Source organism: Homo sapiens, chromosome 7 (assembly GCF_000001405.40).
Source record: "Homo sapiens chromosome 7, GRCh38.p14 Primary Assembly".
Lineage (NCBI taxonomy): Eukaryota > Metazoa > Chordata > Mammalia > Primates > Hominidae > Homo > Homo sapiens.
Window position 1 is genome coordinate 1,666,553 of NC_000007.14, and position 15,046 is coordinate 1,681,598.

At 62.4% G+C, this 15,046-nt stretch overlaps 1 protein-coding gene across 7 annotated transcripts in view, besides 4 other annotated features; it reads left to right on the top strand.

Moving 5' to 3' along the window:
• Positions 1-15,046, top strand: part of ELFN1 (extracellular leucine rich repeat and fibronectin type III domain containing 1) — an 81,883-nt gene that overhangs the window by 489 nt on the left and 66,348 nt on the right. For 2 of the 7 annotated variants that reach the window (XM_047420362.1, XM_011515398.3), the window contains exons 1-2: positions 3,725-3,802; positions 5,485-5,629. The exons of 2 other annotated variants lie outside the window; for them this stretch is intronic. The gene's annotated coding sequence lies outside the window, so the exon portion shown is untranslated. Of the gene's footprint in view, positions 1-3,724; positions 5,630-15,046 lie in introns of those variants that run through there. 3 more of the 7 variants (NM_001128636.4, NM_001394187.1, XM_047420363.1) reach the window with 2 other exon arrangements.
• Positions 2,449-3,156: an enhancer, noted in NCBI's record as "H3K4me1 hESC enhancer chr7:1708637-1709344 (GRCh37/hg19 assembly coordinates)". NCBI's record gives its function as "activates a minimal SCP1, AML or CMV promoter by ChIP-STARR-seq in naive H9 embryonic stem cells {active_cell/tissue: H9 hESC(naive)}" and the evidence as "EXISTENCE:reporter gene assay evidence [ECO:0000049][PMID:30033119]".
• Positions 3,157-3,863: an enhancer, noted in NCBI's record as "H3K27ac-H3K4me1 hESC enhancer chr7:1709345-1710051 (GRCh37/hg19 assembly coordinates)". NCBI's record gives its function as "activates a minimal SCP1, AML or CMV promoter by ChIP-STARR-seq in naive H9 embryonic stem cells {active_cell/tissue: H9 hESC(naive)}" and the evidence as "EXISTENCE:reporter gene assay evidence [ECO:0000049][PMID:30033119]".
• Positions 3,864-4,570: an enhancer, noted in NCBI's record as "H3K27ac-H3K4me1 hESC enhancer chr7:1710052-1710758 (GRCh37/hg19 assembly coordinates)". NCBI's record gives its function as "activates a minimal SCP1, AML or CMV promoter by ChIP-STARR-seq in naive H9 embryonic stem cells {active_cell/tissue: H9 hESC(naive)}" and the evidence as "EXISTENCE:reporter gene assay evidence [ECO:0000049][PMID:30033119]".
• Positions 4,571-5,277: an enhancer, noted in NCBI's record as "H3K4me1 hESC enhancer chr7:1710759-1711465 (GRCh37/hg19 assembly coordinates)". NCBI's record gives its function as "activates a minimal SCP1, AML or CMV promoter by ChIP-STARR-seq in naive H9 embryonic stem cells {active_cell/tissue: H9 hESC(naive)}" and the evidence as "EXISTENCE:reporter gene assay evidence [ECO:0000049][PMID:30033119]".

Consider the following 15,046-nt stretch of genomic DNA (forward strand, 5'->3'; position numbering starts at 1 on the left):
CGGACCCCTAGGGCTAGGGAGGCGCCGCGGGGACCCCGAAACTTTCCGGAGCGCGCTGAGAGCAAAAAGCCGGCTGGGCAGAAAGAGGGGGAGGGGGCTGGGCGCGCCTTCGAGTGCGCTGGGGTAGCCGCGGCGCCCCAAGTTGAACCACAGACGAACCCCTCTTCATCTGAAACCTGGTCTCGGAGTCGGAGGTGGGGAGGGAGTGGGCTGTGGGTGCCTCGACTTCGCAAAGCCGGCGTGGGGGGGCGCAGCGCCCCGCCCCGCGCCGCTTGAACCTCCGGAGGGGGTGTTACGGGACCCCCGCCCCCACCCCAGCCGGTGGCTGGGCTCTGCCGACCGCTGCGGAGCTCCCGGGAAGGACCCGCTCGCGGCTATTAATAGGCGTCGGTGACCCTAGCCTCTCCCGGTCCGGGAAGCTGGCGCGGCGGGGCTGGGCTGGGCTGGGCTGCCGAGTGGGGCGGGACCCCGGGGCCCAGAGCGGACCCCCAGCTCTCCTGGTCCCTCTTCCGCCGCTCTTCCCTCCCTGCCGCCTGCTTTCCTCCCATTTTCCCTCTTCGATCTCGGGGTGTCGGCCCCCCCCCGAACTTTTTCTCTTCCCAAACTGCACGGTGGCCACCCGGTCACGGCCCTGGGCCGTACCCGCGCAATCTCAGCACCATTCCCGACCGAGTCCTCCGCCGCGGGCTGAGCGCGAGTCCCCGGGGCCAGGCTGCCCAGGGAGGAGCAGGGACTTCCTACAATCCGCGCCCTTCCTCCCAACCCACGGCGAGCGCAACACATTCGCCCGCCCCTGCGGCCCCATCTGAGGGCGGGGAGAGGTCGCTGGGGGCAGCTTCGGGGGTTGTGGAGGGCAGGGGGGACCCGCGAAGCTCCTGGAGCGTTTAGGGATGCAGCTCGGGCGGCGTGTGCAGGGAGGAAGCAGCGTCCCGGCGTCCCCCCTTCAGCGTCGCCTTCGCGCGCCTCGAGGGCCCAGGAGGGTTCGGTCTCCCCCACCCCACCTGGACACTCAGGTCTGAGCCTGAGTGGATTTGAGGATCTGGGGGACGGGGAATACGGAGTCCTTCTTCCTGCCTCGGTGTCTGCAGAGCCCAGCCCTCAGGCAGCGTGGGGATCTTTGTCCCCAGGGCCAGCGCCGGCCCCGCCCCCCGCCCCGTTAACTCCGGGACTCCGCCGCCCTCCAGGTTCCAACCTCCCAGCTTCACCGCCGCGTCCTCTCCCCGGTTCTGGGTCTGGGGGAGGGGCAGGGGGCGTGGAGCGCGGCGTTGGGCCCCGGACAGATGTCCTCGCGGCGGCGGCGCCGGCGTCCGGGTAACAGCAGGCCGCCAATCGGCGCGGCCACGGGGGAGGGGCGACCCGGCCGGGACTCCGGGGACTCGGTCGCAGCCGGACGGCGCAGCCTCCGCTCGGGGTGGGGGGGGGGGGCGGCCGCGAGGACTCGACCCCTGCCGTGCAGCCCGGCCTCCAGTCCTCTGCCGTCCCCTCCCCCAGCTCCAGGTTTCGCTCTCTGCTGGGGTCCTGGCTCCTCAGGTTGCGGGATCTCGCCTCCCACGGCCCCGCGCGCGTACCCCTACCCGCCCCTCAAGTTGACCTCTGAGGTTCTCCGTGGATCTCAGACCCCGAGTGACCGCAGAACTGACCTCTGGGGTCAGGCAGTACCGGTCAAGGGCGCTCTGAAGAGGCCCTCGGCCTCAGTTTGCACCCCGAGGAAATGGACTCATCATGCCTGCTCCTGGGAAGTAGCAGGACGTCCTGGCGCGGCTCCTCCGGGCAGGCGCCCAGCACAGCGCAGGGCACACGGGGGACACCTGCGAAGGCAAAGGAGGCTCATTCCAGAGCTTCGGCTGCACTTGGCCAGCACAGGCCTGGGGGAACCTGCTGGAAATGGGGATCCAGTACCTCTCTTGGGGTTTATGTTTGGCAGGCGGAGTGGATAGGCTGGGGCCCGGAGCCCGGTGGTCATCTTCTGCACAAGGCTGGCCAGGCCAGAAGCTGGAGGGTAGCTTACTGGGACCTTCCAAGCGTGACCAAGGAAGCTCTGGGGGCCGACCAGCTTCTCCCTAGTGGAGCTGCAGCTGGGGAGACCTCACAGACAGGCAGGGAGGAGAGGGTGCCCCGCTCACCGCCGGCCTCGTTCCACAGGCCCAGGCCTGGCACATCCCAGGCTTGCAGTATCTATCTGGTGGGTAAACAAGGACCTGCTCTTGGCCTGCGGCCTGGCTCTGACCGTGGTCCAGGTCGGGGCAGAGGGAGAAAGGCCACAGCTTAGGTGTTCCAAACCACCGGTGCCCTTCCTGCCGGCCCCTGGGGCTGTGCTGGGTTTCCAGGGCCCCTGCCCCCCAGTATTTGCATGAAATCGTGGGGGCGCACTGGCTTTCGTCCTAGCACTCCCCTTCAAGGCTCTGCACCCCTATCACGGGAGCCCCACCCAGCCAGCCGAAGGAGGCCACAAGCTCTAAATTACTAAATTCGGGCCAGTGCTGGGGGCCTGGGAGCCAAGGCAGCTCAGAGCCCACTCTCCGATTCTGGCTCCTGGAGAACCCTAGGACCCGGGCGTGTCAGGCCCTGCAGCCGGGCTAGGCCGGTCCATACAGGACTGAACGGCGTCGTGGGCGTTCATTCACATTCCCTCTCCGGTCCCCACACACTATAGGATTTATCTTGATTTGCTGCCTTTGAATTGAGTCAACTCTTTTGTATGCTCGTTGAATTGCCCAGCTGCTGGCGGCGAGCGGAGAGCGTGCCGGGGGTACTGAGGCCGGGAACCAGAGGCGGGCGGGGGACAGGAAGCGGGGAGGGGGCGCCGGCGGGGACGCGCGGGCTGCGCGGGGACTGGAGAGGGTCCCCAGGCGCCGGCCGTTCTGCGAACGCGGGCTTGTCCAGGCACCGCCGGGGCCTGCCCGGCCCGAGCGTGGAGTCCCGAGGCTCCTGCCGGGGGTCCAGGCTGCCCCTGGGGCTCTGCCTTCGACGCGCTGTGTAGGGCCAGATTCTGGGCCTCTCTTGACTCAGTTTCCCTTCCTGTAACATGCGGACGGGGGCTTCCGCACAGGCAGGTTGTCAGGGTGAAACTGAGCCGAAGAGTGCTCCAGAACCCCCTGAAGTCCTCACAGAGGTTGGGGTGAATGAAGGAAGGAAGCGGGGCCAGGGCTGGGCAGAGGAGGCCCGGCCTGCGCCCTGCGTTCTCCGCCCCTAGGTCCCTGCCCTCCCGGATAAGGGGCGGACCGACGGGAGGACCTGAGAACGCCTTGGCTTTGCTTGAGGTGGTGGGAGTCGCGGGTAGCTTGTTCAGCCAACAGCTGTCGCCCCCACTCCCCCCACCCACCCACCCACCCCCTCCACCTTTTAGATGTGGGCGGGGAGGGCCGGGGACGGACCGCGAGGACGCCCCCTGCGCTTTCTAGGACCTCCCCTCCTTCCCCAGCCCCTGCGCGTCGCCGGGAGAGGGAAGGAGCGGGTTGCCGCGGGGAGCCGAGGAGAGCAGGGGGCTCGGGAGGCCAGGGAGAGAAGGGGAGGGCCAGAGGCTCCGAGCCGGACTCGCGGCGGAGGAAGAGGGGGTGGAAGGGAGCGCGCAGGCGGGCGAGGGAGCGAGGGAGGGAGAGAAGGAGGGAGGGAGGGAGGGAAGGGGGGCGGGAGGGGGCAGGGCGAGCTTGAATTCCCCCCCGGCCGCGCGGCGAGGGGCGGGGCCGCGCGCGCAGATCGATGGGCGAAGCTGGGGAGGAATTTCAATCCCGGGAGCGAAGTTAGAGCTTGAAGGACGGCGGCGGCTGCGGGCGCAGCCCCGGAACCGAGGCCGGGCGGGCAGGTAAGCGGCGAGCGCGGCCGGGCGCTGAACCTGGGGGACTTGGGACCCGGACCACCCCCGGGGAGCGGCGCGGCCAAGCCCCCCGCCACCTCGAACCCCGGGCGTCCCCGAGTGCGCAGCGTGCGCCCCCAGCCCCTGCTGCGCCCCCAGGCCTGGCGCGCGATCCGAGCGCAGCGGGCAAAGTTGGAGGAACTTGGCGGCGGCGGAGCGGGCGCAGGCTCAGCCCGACAAAGCCCGGGGGCCCGGGTCGGGGTCGCTGCCGCAGCCCGCACGCTGCCCCGTGCCTCCGAGAGGTCCCTTCCCCAGCGCCTCTCTCCCTTCCGTCCCCCTTCGCCGTCCGCACCCTGCCCGGCGCCCCCCAGACGCGGCCCCCTGCCCTTCCCTTCCCGGAAATTAGGGGGCTGTCCTCACCTCCTGGCCGAGTCGCTGACCCCTCCCCAGGCTCGCATCGCCCTCCCTGCTGGGCCGCCCTCCCCCCGACGCTGCGAGCCTCCTCGCTCCGCGCGGGGACCGTCCAGTCACGCACGGGGAGGGGTCACATTCCTCGGTCCCAGCCCCTGAGTCCAACCACTGGCGGGGGGGTGGGGTGGGGGGCTTCGCTCCGAACTGAACTTACTGGGTGCTTTCCACCCCTCGCCCCACCTGGAGTCCATCCTCGTCCTCGTCCCTCTGGGGGCTGGGAGGAGGCTGCCAAGCCTCCGTGCCCCAACCTGCCTCTAAAGACAAGCGCCCCCATTTCCATCCTTTGAAACCTGCAGGTCACCTGCTTGATGCTGAGGGTGGGGCGGGGGGCACTGCCTGCCGTACCGCACACCGCCCCCCCCCCCATAAAAACGACACCCTCTGAGATGAAAATCCGGCTTTTCCAGGTCTCAGCTGTGTGACCTTGGGGCAGGTGAATCTCAGAGCCTCAGTTTCCACACCTGTGAAATGGGGCTAGGATGATCATGCCTTCTGAAAAAAACGAAGGCTTAGCAGAAAGGGTCGAGGCCGGCCGAGCCAGGTGTGCACGTCCTCAAAAAGCCTCCGTGCCAGCACTTTCCCTTCCTGCACACCCGGAGTGGGGCCTCTTTGGACCCTGGCTTGGGCTGGCTGCCTCTGCCGCTCATTCCCTCGATTGGGCTAAGGGCTGTGCGGAGAGCCTGGGGACAGAAGCTGTGGAGGGACCGGGAGCCAGGAGCAGATGTAAATGGCAAATCTCCCCATATTGCCTCTCTCAGGGGCTGCCCCCTAGAGAGGCCCCCAGCCTCCAAAGAGGTCCAGCTTGCACCCAGCCTTGGGGGAAACCCCATTGGGTTGGGCATAGGTTGCTTGAAAAGCATCAACATGCTCCTCTTCTCTGCCTGGCTGGCCCCCTGGCCTCCTGCCCCCTGGGTCCCTGCCCCTGCCACCTTTTAATTGAACAAGCATTGAGAAGACTGGCTTACAGGTCCCAGCCCAGGTTTGCGCCCCACTCCACCAAAGCAGGGGGACAAACTCCAGGGGGCCGTGTGTGGGAGGGGGTCACCCCCTCACCTGGATTTGAGGGGGTTTGGAGCCCAGCCAGGACCCCAGCACTTGGGTCCCTCATTTTCCTGGGCATACGGTGGTCAGGGAGTTCTGATCCCCACCCCTAGTGGGCAGAAGACCTGGGGGTCTCCAAGTCAGAGATTGGGGGCCATGCCCCTCCCCCTGTCCTACAGCCAGCTGTGCAGCCCCCTCCTCCTCGGCCGCAGCAGGACTGCTGTGTGCGTATAATTCAGGATGATACAGCAGGCTCGGCAGGCAGCTCCCGACTCCCAGAAAAGCCAGTGGGCACCTGAACCAGAGCCACACTCCTGAGGCCTGGTAAGTCTGGGGTAAGGGTGCAGGGATGTGGTGGGCACCTGCACCCAGGACCAGAGGAGGGGAGGGAGGGCGGCGTCCCTTCCCCACCATGCCCCAGGACTGCCACTGGAAAGCACTGATTTTTCAAAGTGTCTTTGGAGGCAGGCTCCCCACACCTGGGCCAGGGAGAGGCTGCTGCTCCTCCACCTCCCTACCACGGTCCCCACCAAGAAACAGGTGTCCGGGGTCCCAGCAAGCGCCCAGGGCCAGAGCCTGGAGTAGTTGCCTGTCTCGGACCCCGGCATTTGAATATTTTCACCCTAAATGTATACTTGTAGGCTTCACCTGCTCTCCAGGAGAGAAAAATTAATGGGACTAAAATATGACCACAGTGCCTGAGATCAATGGGGTAAAATCGGAGTGGCTGCCTGGGTCCCATGTTGGTGACTTTCTCTATCTGTTTCCAACACACACGCATCAGCTCTAGATTTTGATAGAATTTTCTAAGCACTCAGGAAAGCCTCCTTCTAAGGTCCCCCTGAGGTCAGAGCCCCCACCCCAGGATCCCTTCCCCCCCGACAAGCCAATTCCCCATTTTGGTAGGGGACTGTGTTTCTCCGTGCCAGACTCAGACACCATCGCATTGGAGGAAATTTATGAGCAGAGGTGCATGGACTTGGGGTGTTCATATATCTTCACAAGAAAGAAACAGGCAGGCCCTCGAGATGCCCGGGTGGGTGGTGCATAAATACACGAGGGGGCCGGTGGCGGGGCGGGGGGCAGGATTAAAAATGCAAGTGAGTGACAGGCGAGAGATAGATAGATCTCCAGGGCTGGGTGATGAGGCCATAAATTTCCAGGCGTGAACCTGGAGCGGATGGTGGCACCGCCGCGGACATTGGATACATTTGTCATCTCTCCAGCGCCCCCCCCCGCTCTTTCCTTTTTGTTTTTGTTGTGGATTTGGTTTCTTCCAGCACAAGCTCAGGTGTCAAGTGGCCTTGGGTGGGTGTTTGTGGGGGTGGCTGGTGGTGGAGCCACTGCAGTGGACGATGGCGCCATCCATTCCAGCACCAGCTGTACAGATGGGGAGACTGAGGCCCGGATTGGGGTGGGGCCGGAGAGGGTGGTGGAGGGGTCCTATGTCTGGCGTCTGTGTCCTGTTGTGTTGGTTCAGGTCAGGGGATTCCAGCAGGGTGGGAGGCCTTGGTCGTTGGGGGCTGCTGCCTCCCTTCACCCCTGTGCACCCTGAGCCAGTCAGTGGCACCGACAGTAAACAGGAAGCAGGGTGGCAGCTATGGGCACTCGAGCCCAGCACCGTGCCCCCCCTCCCCGCCCCCTGCCCCGGATGTCCCTTTCCCAAGGCTGGTGGATTGAGACCTGGTTCTGTCCCACCTCTTCCAGCCTCCTGGGGAGGGAGGGCGGGAGGTGAGAGACCACCCTGGGAGCGCTGATGGCAGACAAGGGCCAACTGTGTGCCCTACCTGGAGCCTGGGACAAAGCCCAGAGGAGCCTGGCTGCCTTGGAGCTGGCATCCCCAGATGGAAAGACAATGGTCTCACAAATAAATGTGCCTCCTTTCCCTCGGAGATCAGCCGGTCCAGCCCCTGAAGATGGTCCAGCCGGTCCATTTTCCAGAAGGGTCCAGCATCGCCCGAGGTCACACAGCAAGTAAGCTGGAGCTGTGGCTGGACCAGGCCTCCACACCTGTAGAGCTGTCCTGGGGCAGCTGGGGTCTTGGTCTTGGAGAAGAGCTGGAACCCAGGCTGAGGCAGGAGGGGGTCCAGCAGGGCTTGAGGGACCTTCAGAGGGGAGGCAGAGAGGACGACTACTCCGCTCCCTGCTCCAGGCCACGGGGGTACACAGGAGCTGGTGGGGAAACTGAGTCAGGCGGCGAGGACCACTGCTCTGCTCCCTGCTCCGGGCCGTGAGGGGTGCACAGGAGCCAGTGGGGAAACTGAGTCAGGCAGAGAGGACCACTCCTCTGCTCCCTGCTCTGGGCCATGAGGGGTGCCCAGGAGCCGGTGGGGAAACTGAGGCAGAGAGGACCACTCCTCCGCTCCCTGCTCCGGGCCATGGGGGTGCACAGGAGCCAGTGGGGAAACTGAGCCATGGAGGCTGGTCCACACAGCTCTTCCCCACCCACATGGCTAGGACTCCTGGGGCTGTTCTGTGGTGGGAGACCCTGGAGTCTCAGGATCTCGGTTACTCAGCCCCGGTTGCCTCCCTTCTGCCCAGCAGTTAGTTCCTCAGGACTCACGGCTTCCAGGCTCCCCTCGCCTGTGAGCCGGACCCAAGCTCCTCTTTGGGGCTGAGGAGGAGGGGTCTAGCTGGCCCCTATAGGGTGGGCAGAGTTTAGATAACCCCACAGGAAGAGGCAGGCATCCAGGCAGGAGAGGCAGCGGAAGGGAAGGTGTGAGGCCCCCAGAGCAGTGAGGGGGGTGGGGAGAGGGGCCATGACAGTGGACGGTGACCCCCCCGCCCTCGACGTCTGCCCTAATGTCTTCCTCTGCCAGTTCCAGGACAGACTCGGGCAGCCACAGTGGGAGAGACTGGTGGAAGGGACAGGGCCTTGCCTCCCTGTGTGTTGTGCCCAGTGCCCCCACATGAGGCTGGGGTATATTGGAAAACTGCACTCTGGGCTTCCGAGGGAGGGATGGGGACAGAGGAGGCACAGCCGGGCGGGAAACATCCTTCGGCCCGGGCCAGCCCAGCCATCACCAGGTCCACTGTGTTTGCTAGAGCCCCCAATTCAATCTCTGAATTTTAAAGATAGGGACACTGAGGCGCAGACAGGGCAGTGGCCGCAAGCCACTGAGGCTTGCAGGCAGTGGTATCTGGGCTCAGCCCTGCTCCCATGCTGGGCTCCCCACACCTCATATCCGGGCTCAGCTGGGAGAGTGCCCTGGCCTTACCGACGGGGACCCGGCAGCCCACGGCGTGGAGGTGAACCAGCTTGTCTGGGAAGCCACATTCCACCCCTGTGCACCCCCAGGCCCTCTGTGGCCCACTACCCCCTCTAGGACCCCACCCCACAGAAGCGCATCTCTCTGCTGTCCGCCCCACTCCAGTGGTAACTTCTGTCAGAGGGCTTGTCACAGAGTGCTGACCGCGCTGAGAGCTTCTCACCAGCGCTGGACATGTGGCCAGGTGGCGGCCGAGGGCTCGGGGGCGGGGGTCTGTCCACGTGACAGGTGCACACCCCGGCATTGCTGCCCTGACATTTGGAGGCTGTTGGGTTGGGTCCAGGCGGAATCCTTCCTGGGATGGAAACCCCGGGAGATGATTGACAGCCTGGAGGCTCCCCCGTGTTTACCGACAGATCCGAGTCTTATTTTCAGCAGGATCAAACTCAGGCACCTCTTAGTCATTAACTCTCTCTAGTTTAATAAACACAGATACAAACACAGCCAGCCATGTGCCCGCCCCACATGGATGAGAATCCCGCCCGGCTTCCTGGGGCCGAGGAGCGGGGTCTGGAAATGGGGGGGCCGTCGGGGGGCTCCCCAGACCCTCGGCCGGTGCGCAGGAGGCCCTGCAGGGAGAGGGCTTTGCAGAGCACACAGTGAGGCGTCGCTGGCCCGGAGGGACGAGTCAAGGACAGCTGTGTGCCTTCACAGTCCCGCGCTGTCGAGACACAGCCCGAAGTAGTGGCTGGGAAGGTGTCCCGGAGATACCCACAGCACAGCTGCCCCGCCAGGGCTGCATGAAGGGTTGGCCAGCGCTTGGCTCCCTCACTGCCATCTCGACCTCCACGGCCTCCCTAGAAGCCCAAGGGGCTGGGGACCCTCAGGATGTGTCTCCTGGGCGTGGACTCTGGGCTGTGCTGTGGCTCCTGCCTGGCCCCCGCACTGGTCAGAGTGCTGACCGAGGGAGGCTGCCTGGGAGGGGGACTGGGATGCTTCCCGGACATGTCTGGAAAGGTGGCAGCTGGTTCCTAGACCAGATCCCAAGGGAGATGGCATTAGCCAAGTGCCTACCTCTGCCTAAAGGGTGCTGGTAGTGGCTCCAGGGCACCCTGGAGAGGAACCCCCAGTCTGTTGTCTCCCTGCCTGAGGGGAGCCTGCACTGAGGCCTCTGCCCTCCTCACTGACAGACTGCCCCTGTGTCTGTTTGCCCCGTGGAAGCTGTGGAAGGGCCCGGCCTCTGCCCTCTTCACTGAGGGACCACCCCTGCATCTATCTGTCCTGTGGAATGGTGGAAGGGCTTGGCTGCAGATCATGGGGTGGCCCGGGCTGGGGAGCCTCTGGTGTTCGGCGTGACCTGAGGTGGGTCCCTTCCCTTCCCGGAGCCTCGGCCTCTCCTCCGTCATGTGAGGACGGGGGTGGATGGATGGCTGTGGGGAGTGTAAATGGCTGACACCAGTTCTGGAAAGGGCAGAGCCGCCACTGCTGGCAGAATCCCCCGCCCTTCTGACTTGCCCTGCATGGCCCTCAGACCTGCAGCCCTGGAACCTGGATGGGGCGCAGGTTCGGTCCCTGCGTCCCTCTGTGCCCTGCTGTGCAAAGAGACAGGGAAGGAGGATGCTGGGGAAGGGAGAGCAGGTGTAATGGCCCCGCAGCCGAGACACGCTTCGTGTGGGTGAAGGGCAAGGCCAGTGCAGCTGGCCGTGGGGGCTGAGAGGTGAGCGGGAGAGGCCCCAGGGTCCGGGCTGCTCCTGTGTCGGAGCTCTTGGGAAGAGTTGGTTGGTACTCGGATTGCTTCGGGAAGTCTCTGGGGAGTTTGCAGCAGCTGAGAGACAAGGCTGGCTTTAAAGCATCCCTCTGATGTCGACGGAGAAAGGGTTTTTAAGGGCACACGAGGGAATGAGCCACCCAGGGGACTGCCGACGTCTGAAAGCCATGAGGGTAGCCCGTACTGGGTGCCGACGCTGGCAGCGGAGAGACAGAGAGGATGTAACTTCTGTTTTGACAGTGCTTAGAAATTGGAGCTACATTCCTATAGAGAAAAATATTCTGTAAGGCAAAACCCATTTTCCTATTTATATTCATTAGGAAATGAGGGAGGCCGTCCTGTGGAGAGGAAGGTTGTGCGAAGCAAGTCCTGCTTCCCTTTGACAGCCATTAGCATTTCAGAGCTGTGTTCTTGGGGAGATGAACCCCCCAGAATGGATTGGTATGAAACAGTGGGGTCATCTTGGCACAGAACCCCTCAGGGTGCCCACAGAAGTGGGGCTCAGGGCCCATTCCTCAGGTATCCGGCACCCCGGCTTCCTCCAGGAGACGGGATTCTCAGATCTTCATTTGCGTGTGGCTCTGGGTGCAGATGGGTGTCCAAGTGAATATGGGAGCAGGCACGCATGTTCACGTGTGTGCGTGTAGATTACCACTTGTGTGAACAGAGGACTGTGCAGGGGTGTGTGTAGGTTCGCGGGTGTGTGCATGTAGATTCGTGTCTGAATATGGGAGTGTGCACACACGTGCATGAACTCACGTGTGTGTAGATTAGTGTCTGCGTGAATAGAGGTGTGTGCACACCCTCCTGGCCCCCCCACCCCTTTCCCCTCTTGGACACCACAGTGGGCAGCCGATGTGGGTTCATGAATGATCGTGGCTCTGATGTGAAATTCCTTCCGTCTGAGGGTTAGGTTCTGTAAAATGAATTTGTTGTCTGCTTTTTCTTTTTTTTTGCAAATTCAGTCGAGCGGATGGAGGCTCTGAGATGCAGGGAGCGTGTGGAGCTCCCGCGGGTTCCTGGTGGGTCTGGGAGCGGCCGGCTCCCCTGTCCTTGGGGTAGGCAGGGAGGGACGTCAGGAAGAGAGTCAGGCCCCTGAGGTGTTTGCTGTCTGACAGACATCCGGGCTTATTTTTGTTCCTTCATTACATTGTCCCCACAGAGCAAGAGCATGCTACATCTGAGGGCTGTGAGTCCCCAGAGACAGCTTTTCAGAGAAACAACTCACCAGAAATCCAGTGTTCCCGCACCCGAATCCACACCAGTCAGGGACCGAGGGGACTCAGCTGAATGGGCAGCTCCCAGCCCTGGGCGCCTGTGCCCTCACCATGCACAGTGTGTGTGCCACCGTGCTCCCACACACACTGGGGAGGCATGCACAGGGGTGCACAGGCACAGGTGCACGCACACACACACCATGGGGTCCTGGAGTGCAGCCTGTGCCAACATGGGACTTCAGCTCCCATCCTGCCACGACCACCCAGGGCACCTGAGCCTCACACCCCATACCTGGGCTCAGAGCAGCTCTCCCGCCCCACCCTGCGGCCCTGCATGTCAGTTGTGGGTAAGGCCCGCGCCACTGGGAATCTTCACACAGCCCGGAGGGAGGTGCTGTGTGCCCATTTCACAGACCAGAAGGCCGAGGCATGGAGTGGGGAAGTAACATGGTCCAGGCTCACGGCTCACATGTGCCAGAACCCAGCATAGCCTGTCTGGGACACCCTTGGGCCCCCACCCCACATTTTACAGAAAGGTCTGTAAACAGCCTCAGCACCTCCCATGGTGCCCAGACTTCCCCCAAGCCTCCTCTGGTGTCCTCTTCCTGCACCCACCACCAGCCTCAGCCCTGCTGCCCTTGCCTGGCCCCAGCGGTCGTGGGTGTGGACCCTGAGCCTCGGCTCTCACTTTGCCCTCTGTCTGCCCACGTGGGTGCCAGAGCATCCCCCATCTCTGCGACAGTCTTGGTGACTACCCGGCTTAGCGAGTGAGGGAATATTTGGCACAGCAGCGAAATCGGGAGTGTGGGGTGCGGGCATCGCGTGGACACGCTGTGAACTGGGATTTGGAGCACGGGTGATGCCAGAGTGGGTGATGTCAGGGGCTGGCCTGTGCTCCCAGGAGTGCTCACCCCGAGGAACTGGCCTTGGGTGGCAGAGGAGAGGAGAGGCCTGGGGACCCTGACCCTCATCTCCCATCACCTCCGCTGGGCTGCGTGACCCTGAGTTACACACTAATGATTATGCCCGTCTTGCAGGGATGTTGGCACCTACTCAGCTAGAGCCCACCCCCCACATACACACACACGCGTGCGCGCACACACACACGCGTGCACACACGTACGCGCGCACACACACACACACACAACTGCGCATGGCTCCCATTTGACAAAAGAGCAGCCAGGGCTCTGTACCCTGCCAGGGTCTAGCTGGTGACCAGGGCTGGGCGGGAGGGCCATAGCTACAGCCCAGGCCTGGGTCCATTGTGCTGGCATTATCACGGCTGCACATCCCCCTCCCTGCAGGAGGCTCTGGGACCTCCCCAAGCCTGGGGGTGCCTGGCCTGACCATCTGGGCCGTGGGCAGGGAACTCTGGGCCTGGGGCCAGGAGGACAGTCCCGGGGCCTGCTCTGGGGTCCCCTGCAGGTTGCTGGCTGAGGGAACCCACAGGAACGTTCCCTGGAGGTTCAGGCAGGAGGGGAAACTGAGGCCCAGGCTGCTGCCTCAGCCCCGTCCCTACCGAGCTCTCCCGGGGAGGATGTGGGGAGGGGAACCGAGGGTTCCTGCAAGCCTCATGTTCGCACCTGTGCACTGGAGCTGCTAACTCCTGTCTGCTGGGGTGAGTCCCACCAAGCGGGGTGGCATTTGTGGGGCGTTGGCACAGCCTGGATGCCATGGTGCTCAGAATGAGGGTCCCTTCCCCCTGCCCCCTGGCCACACTCCAACAGTGGCTCCCTCCTGTGACTCTGCCCCTGTCCTTGGCCATTGCGGGCGTGGTGTCCCCAGTCCTCTGAAAGCCCCATTGTGCAGGGTCACCTTTGCCTTGTCCTGTCCACCACAGGGCCCTGGCACCCAGATCACCATCCTCGAGGAAAGGAGAGGGCAGGGACAGAGATGGAACGGGGAGCAGAAGGGGGCGCGTGTGCCCCTGAGCGCTCCTGTGTGCAGGTGCACAGTTCATTAAACATGACCATGAAGTCGGGACATGGGAGTTACGCATTAGAAGTGTTCATTCACTGATTCATTCATTCATTCACCTACCCAGTGGACATTCTCCGATGCTGGGCTCCGTGGTCTGGATACGAAAGCAAAACAGGTGTTATCCTGGGAGTAGCCTGGGCTTGCCTTGGGCACTCTGGCTCATTCTGACCCGGTCCGTGGGCCCAGGGCAGTGCTGGAACACCCCTTGGAGGAGTGCCCAAGGCAGATCACGTAGGGGAACAAATTGTGTGTTTGATTTTTGGGAAGGTACCCCAAGGTCACGGGGAGATCCTTCTGTTTTGAGTGGAAACCAAGTGTGGCAGGATGGTCAAGACGTGGATGGTCTGGGGTCTGGTAAAGTCATTCTGGTTCTCACCACCCTCGGGACAAGAATCTGATCACCTGGGGGACGATGCTGAAAGGGGCAGCGGCTGTGCTGCGCTTGTTTCCCTTGCGTGAGCTTGCTTCTTTTTTCTTCCTGAGCAGCTTTACAGAGGCATCCTGTGCGCCGACACCGTCACCGTGCCTTCCACTCTCCATCTGCAAGCCCATTGCAAGGGCACCAGGCAGTGGTTTTCATGCATTCATAGAGTTGCACAACCATAACTACATACCAGCTATAAAACATTTTCATGCCCAACTGTAGTCAGCACCCCCTACCCCACCCCCAGGCACTGATCTGCACCCTGTCTCTGTGGATTTACAATTTTTTTTTTTTTTTTTTTTTTGAGACTGAATCTCACTCTGTTGCCTAGGCTGGAGTGCAGTGGTGCGTTCTCGGCTCACAGCAGCCTCCGCCTCCTGGATTCAGATGATTCTTCTGCCTCAGCCTCCTGAGTAGCTGGGATTACAGGCGCCCACCACCATGCCTGGATAGTTTTTGTATTTTTAGTAAAGACAGGGTTTCACCATGTTGACCAGGCTGGTCTCGAACTCCTGACCTCAGGTGATCCACACCCCTCAGCCTCCCAAAGTGCTGGGATTACAGGCGTGAGCCACTGCGCCCAGCCTGTGGATTTACATTTAATGGACATTTCACATCAATGGGATCCTGCATCCTGCAATATGCAGTCTTCTGTGGCTGGATTCTAACACTTAGTGTCATATTTTTGAGGTTCAGTCATCTTATAGACTGTGTCAGTAGTTGTTGGTTTTTATTGCTGAATAGTATTCTATTGTATTGCTAGACCGTTTTACTTATCCATTATCCAAAACACATGCAGAGCATGTGTGTCCAGCGTGGGGCCATTATGAATCATGCCGCTGTGAACATTCGTGCACAAACTGGGCAGCTTCCTGGAAGGAGAGTTCATCTGGTCAGTTCATATTGTAAAATTCTTTTTTTTCTTGAGATGGAGTCTCACTCTGTCACCCAGGCTGGAGTGCACTGGCTTAATCTTGGCTCACTGCAACCTCTGCCTCCCAGGCTCAAGTGATTCTCCTGCCTCAGCCTCCCAAGTAGCTGGGATTACAGGCACGCACCACCATGCCCAGCTGATTTTTGTATTTTTTAGTAGAGACTGGGTCTCGCCATGTTGGCCAGGTTGGTCTTGAACTCCTGACCTCA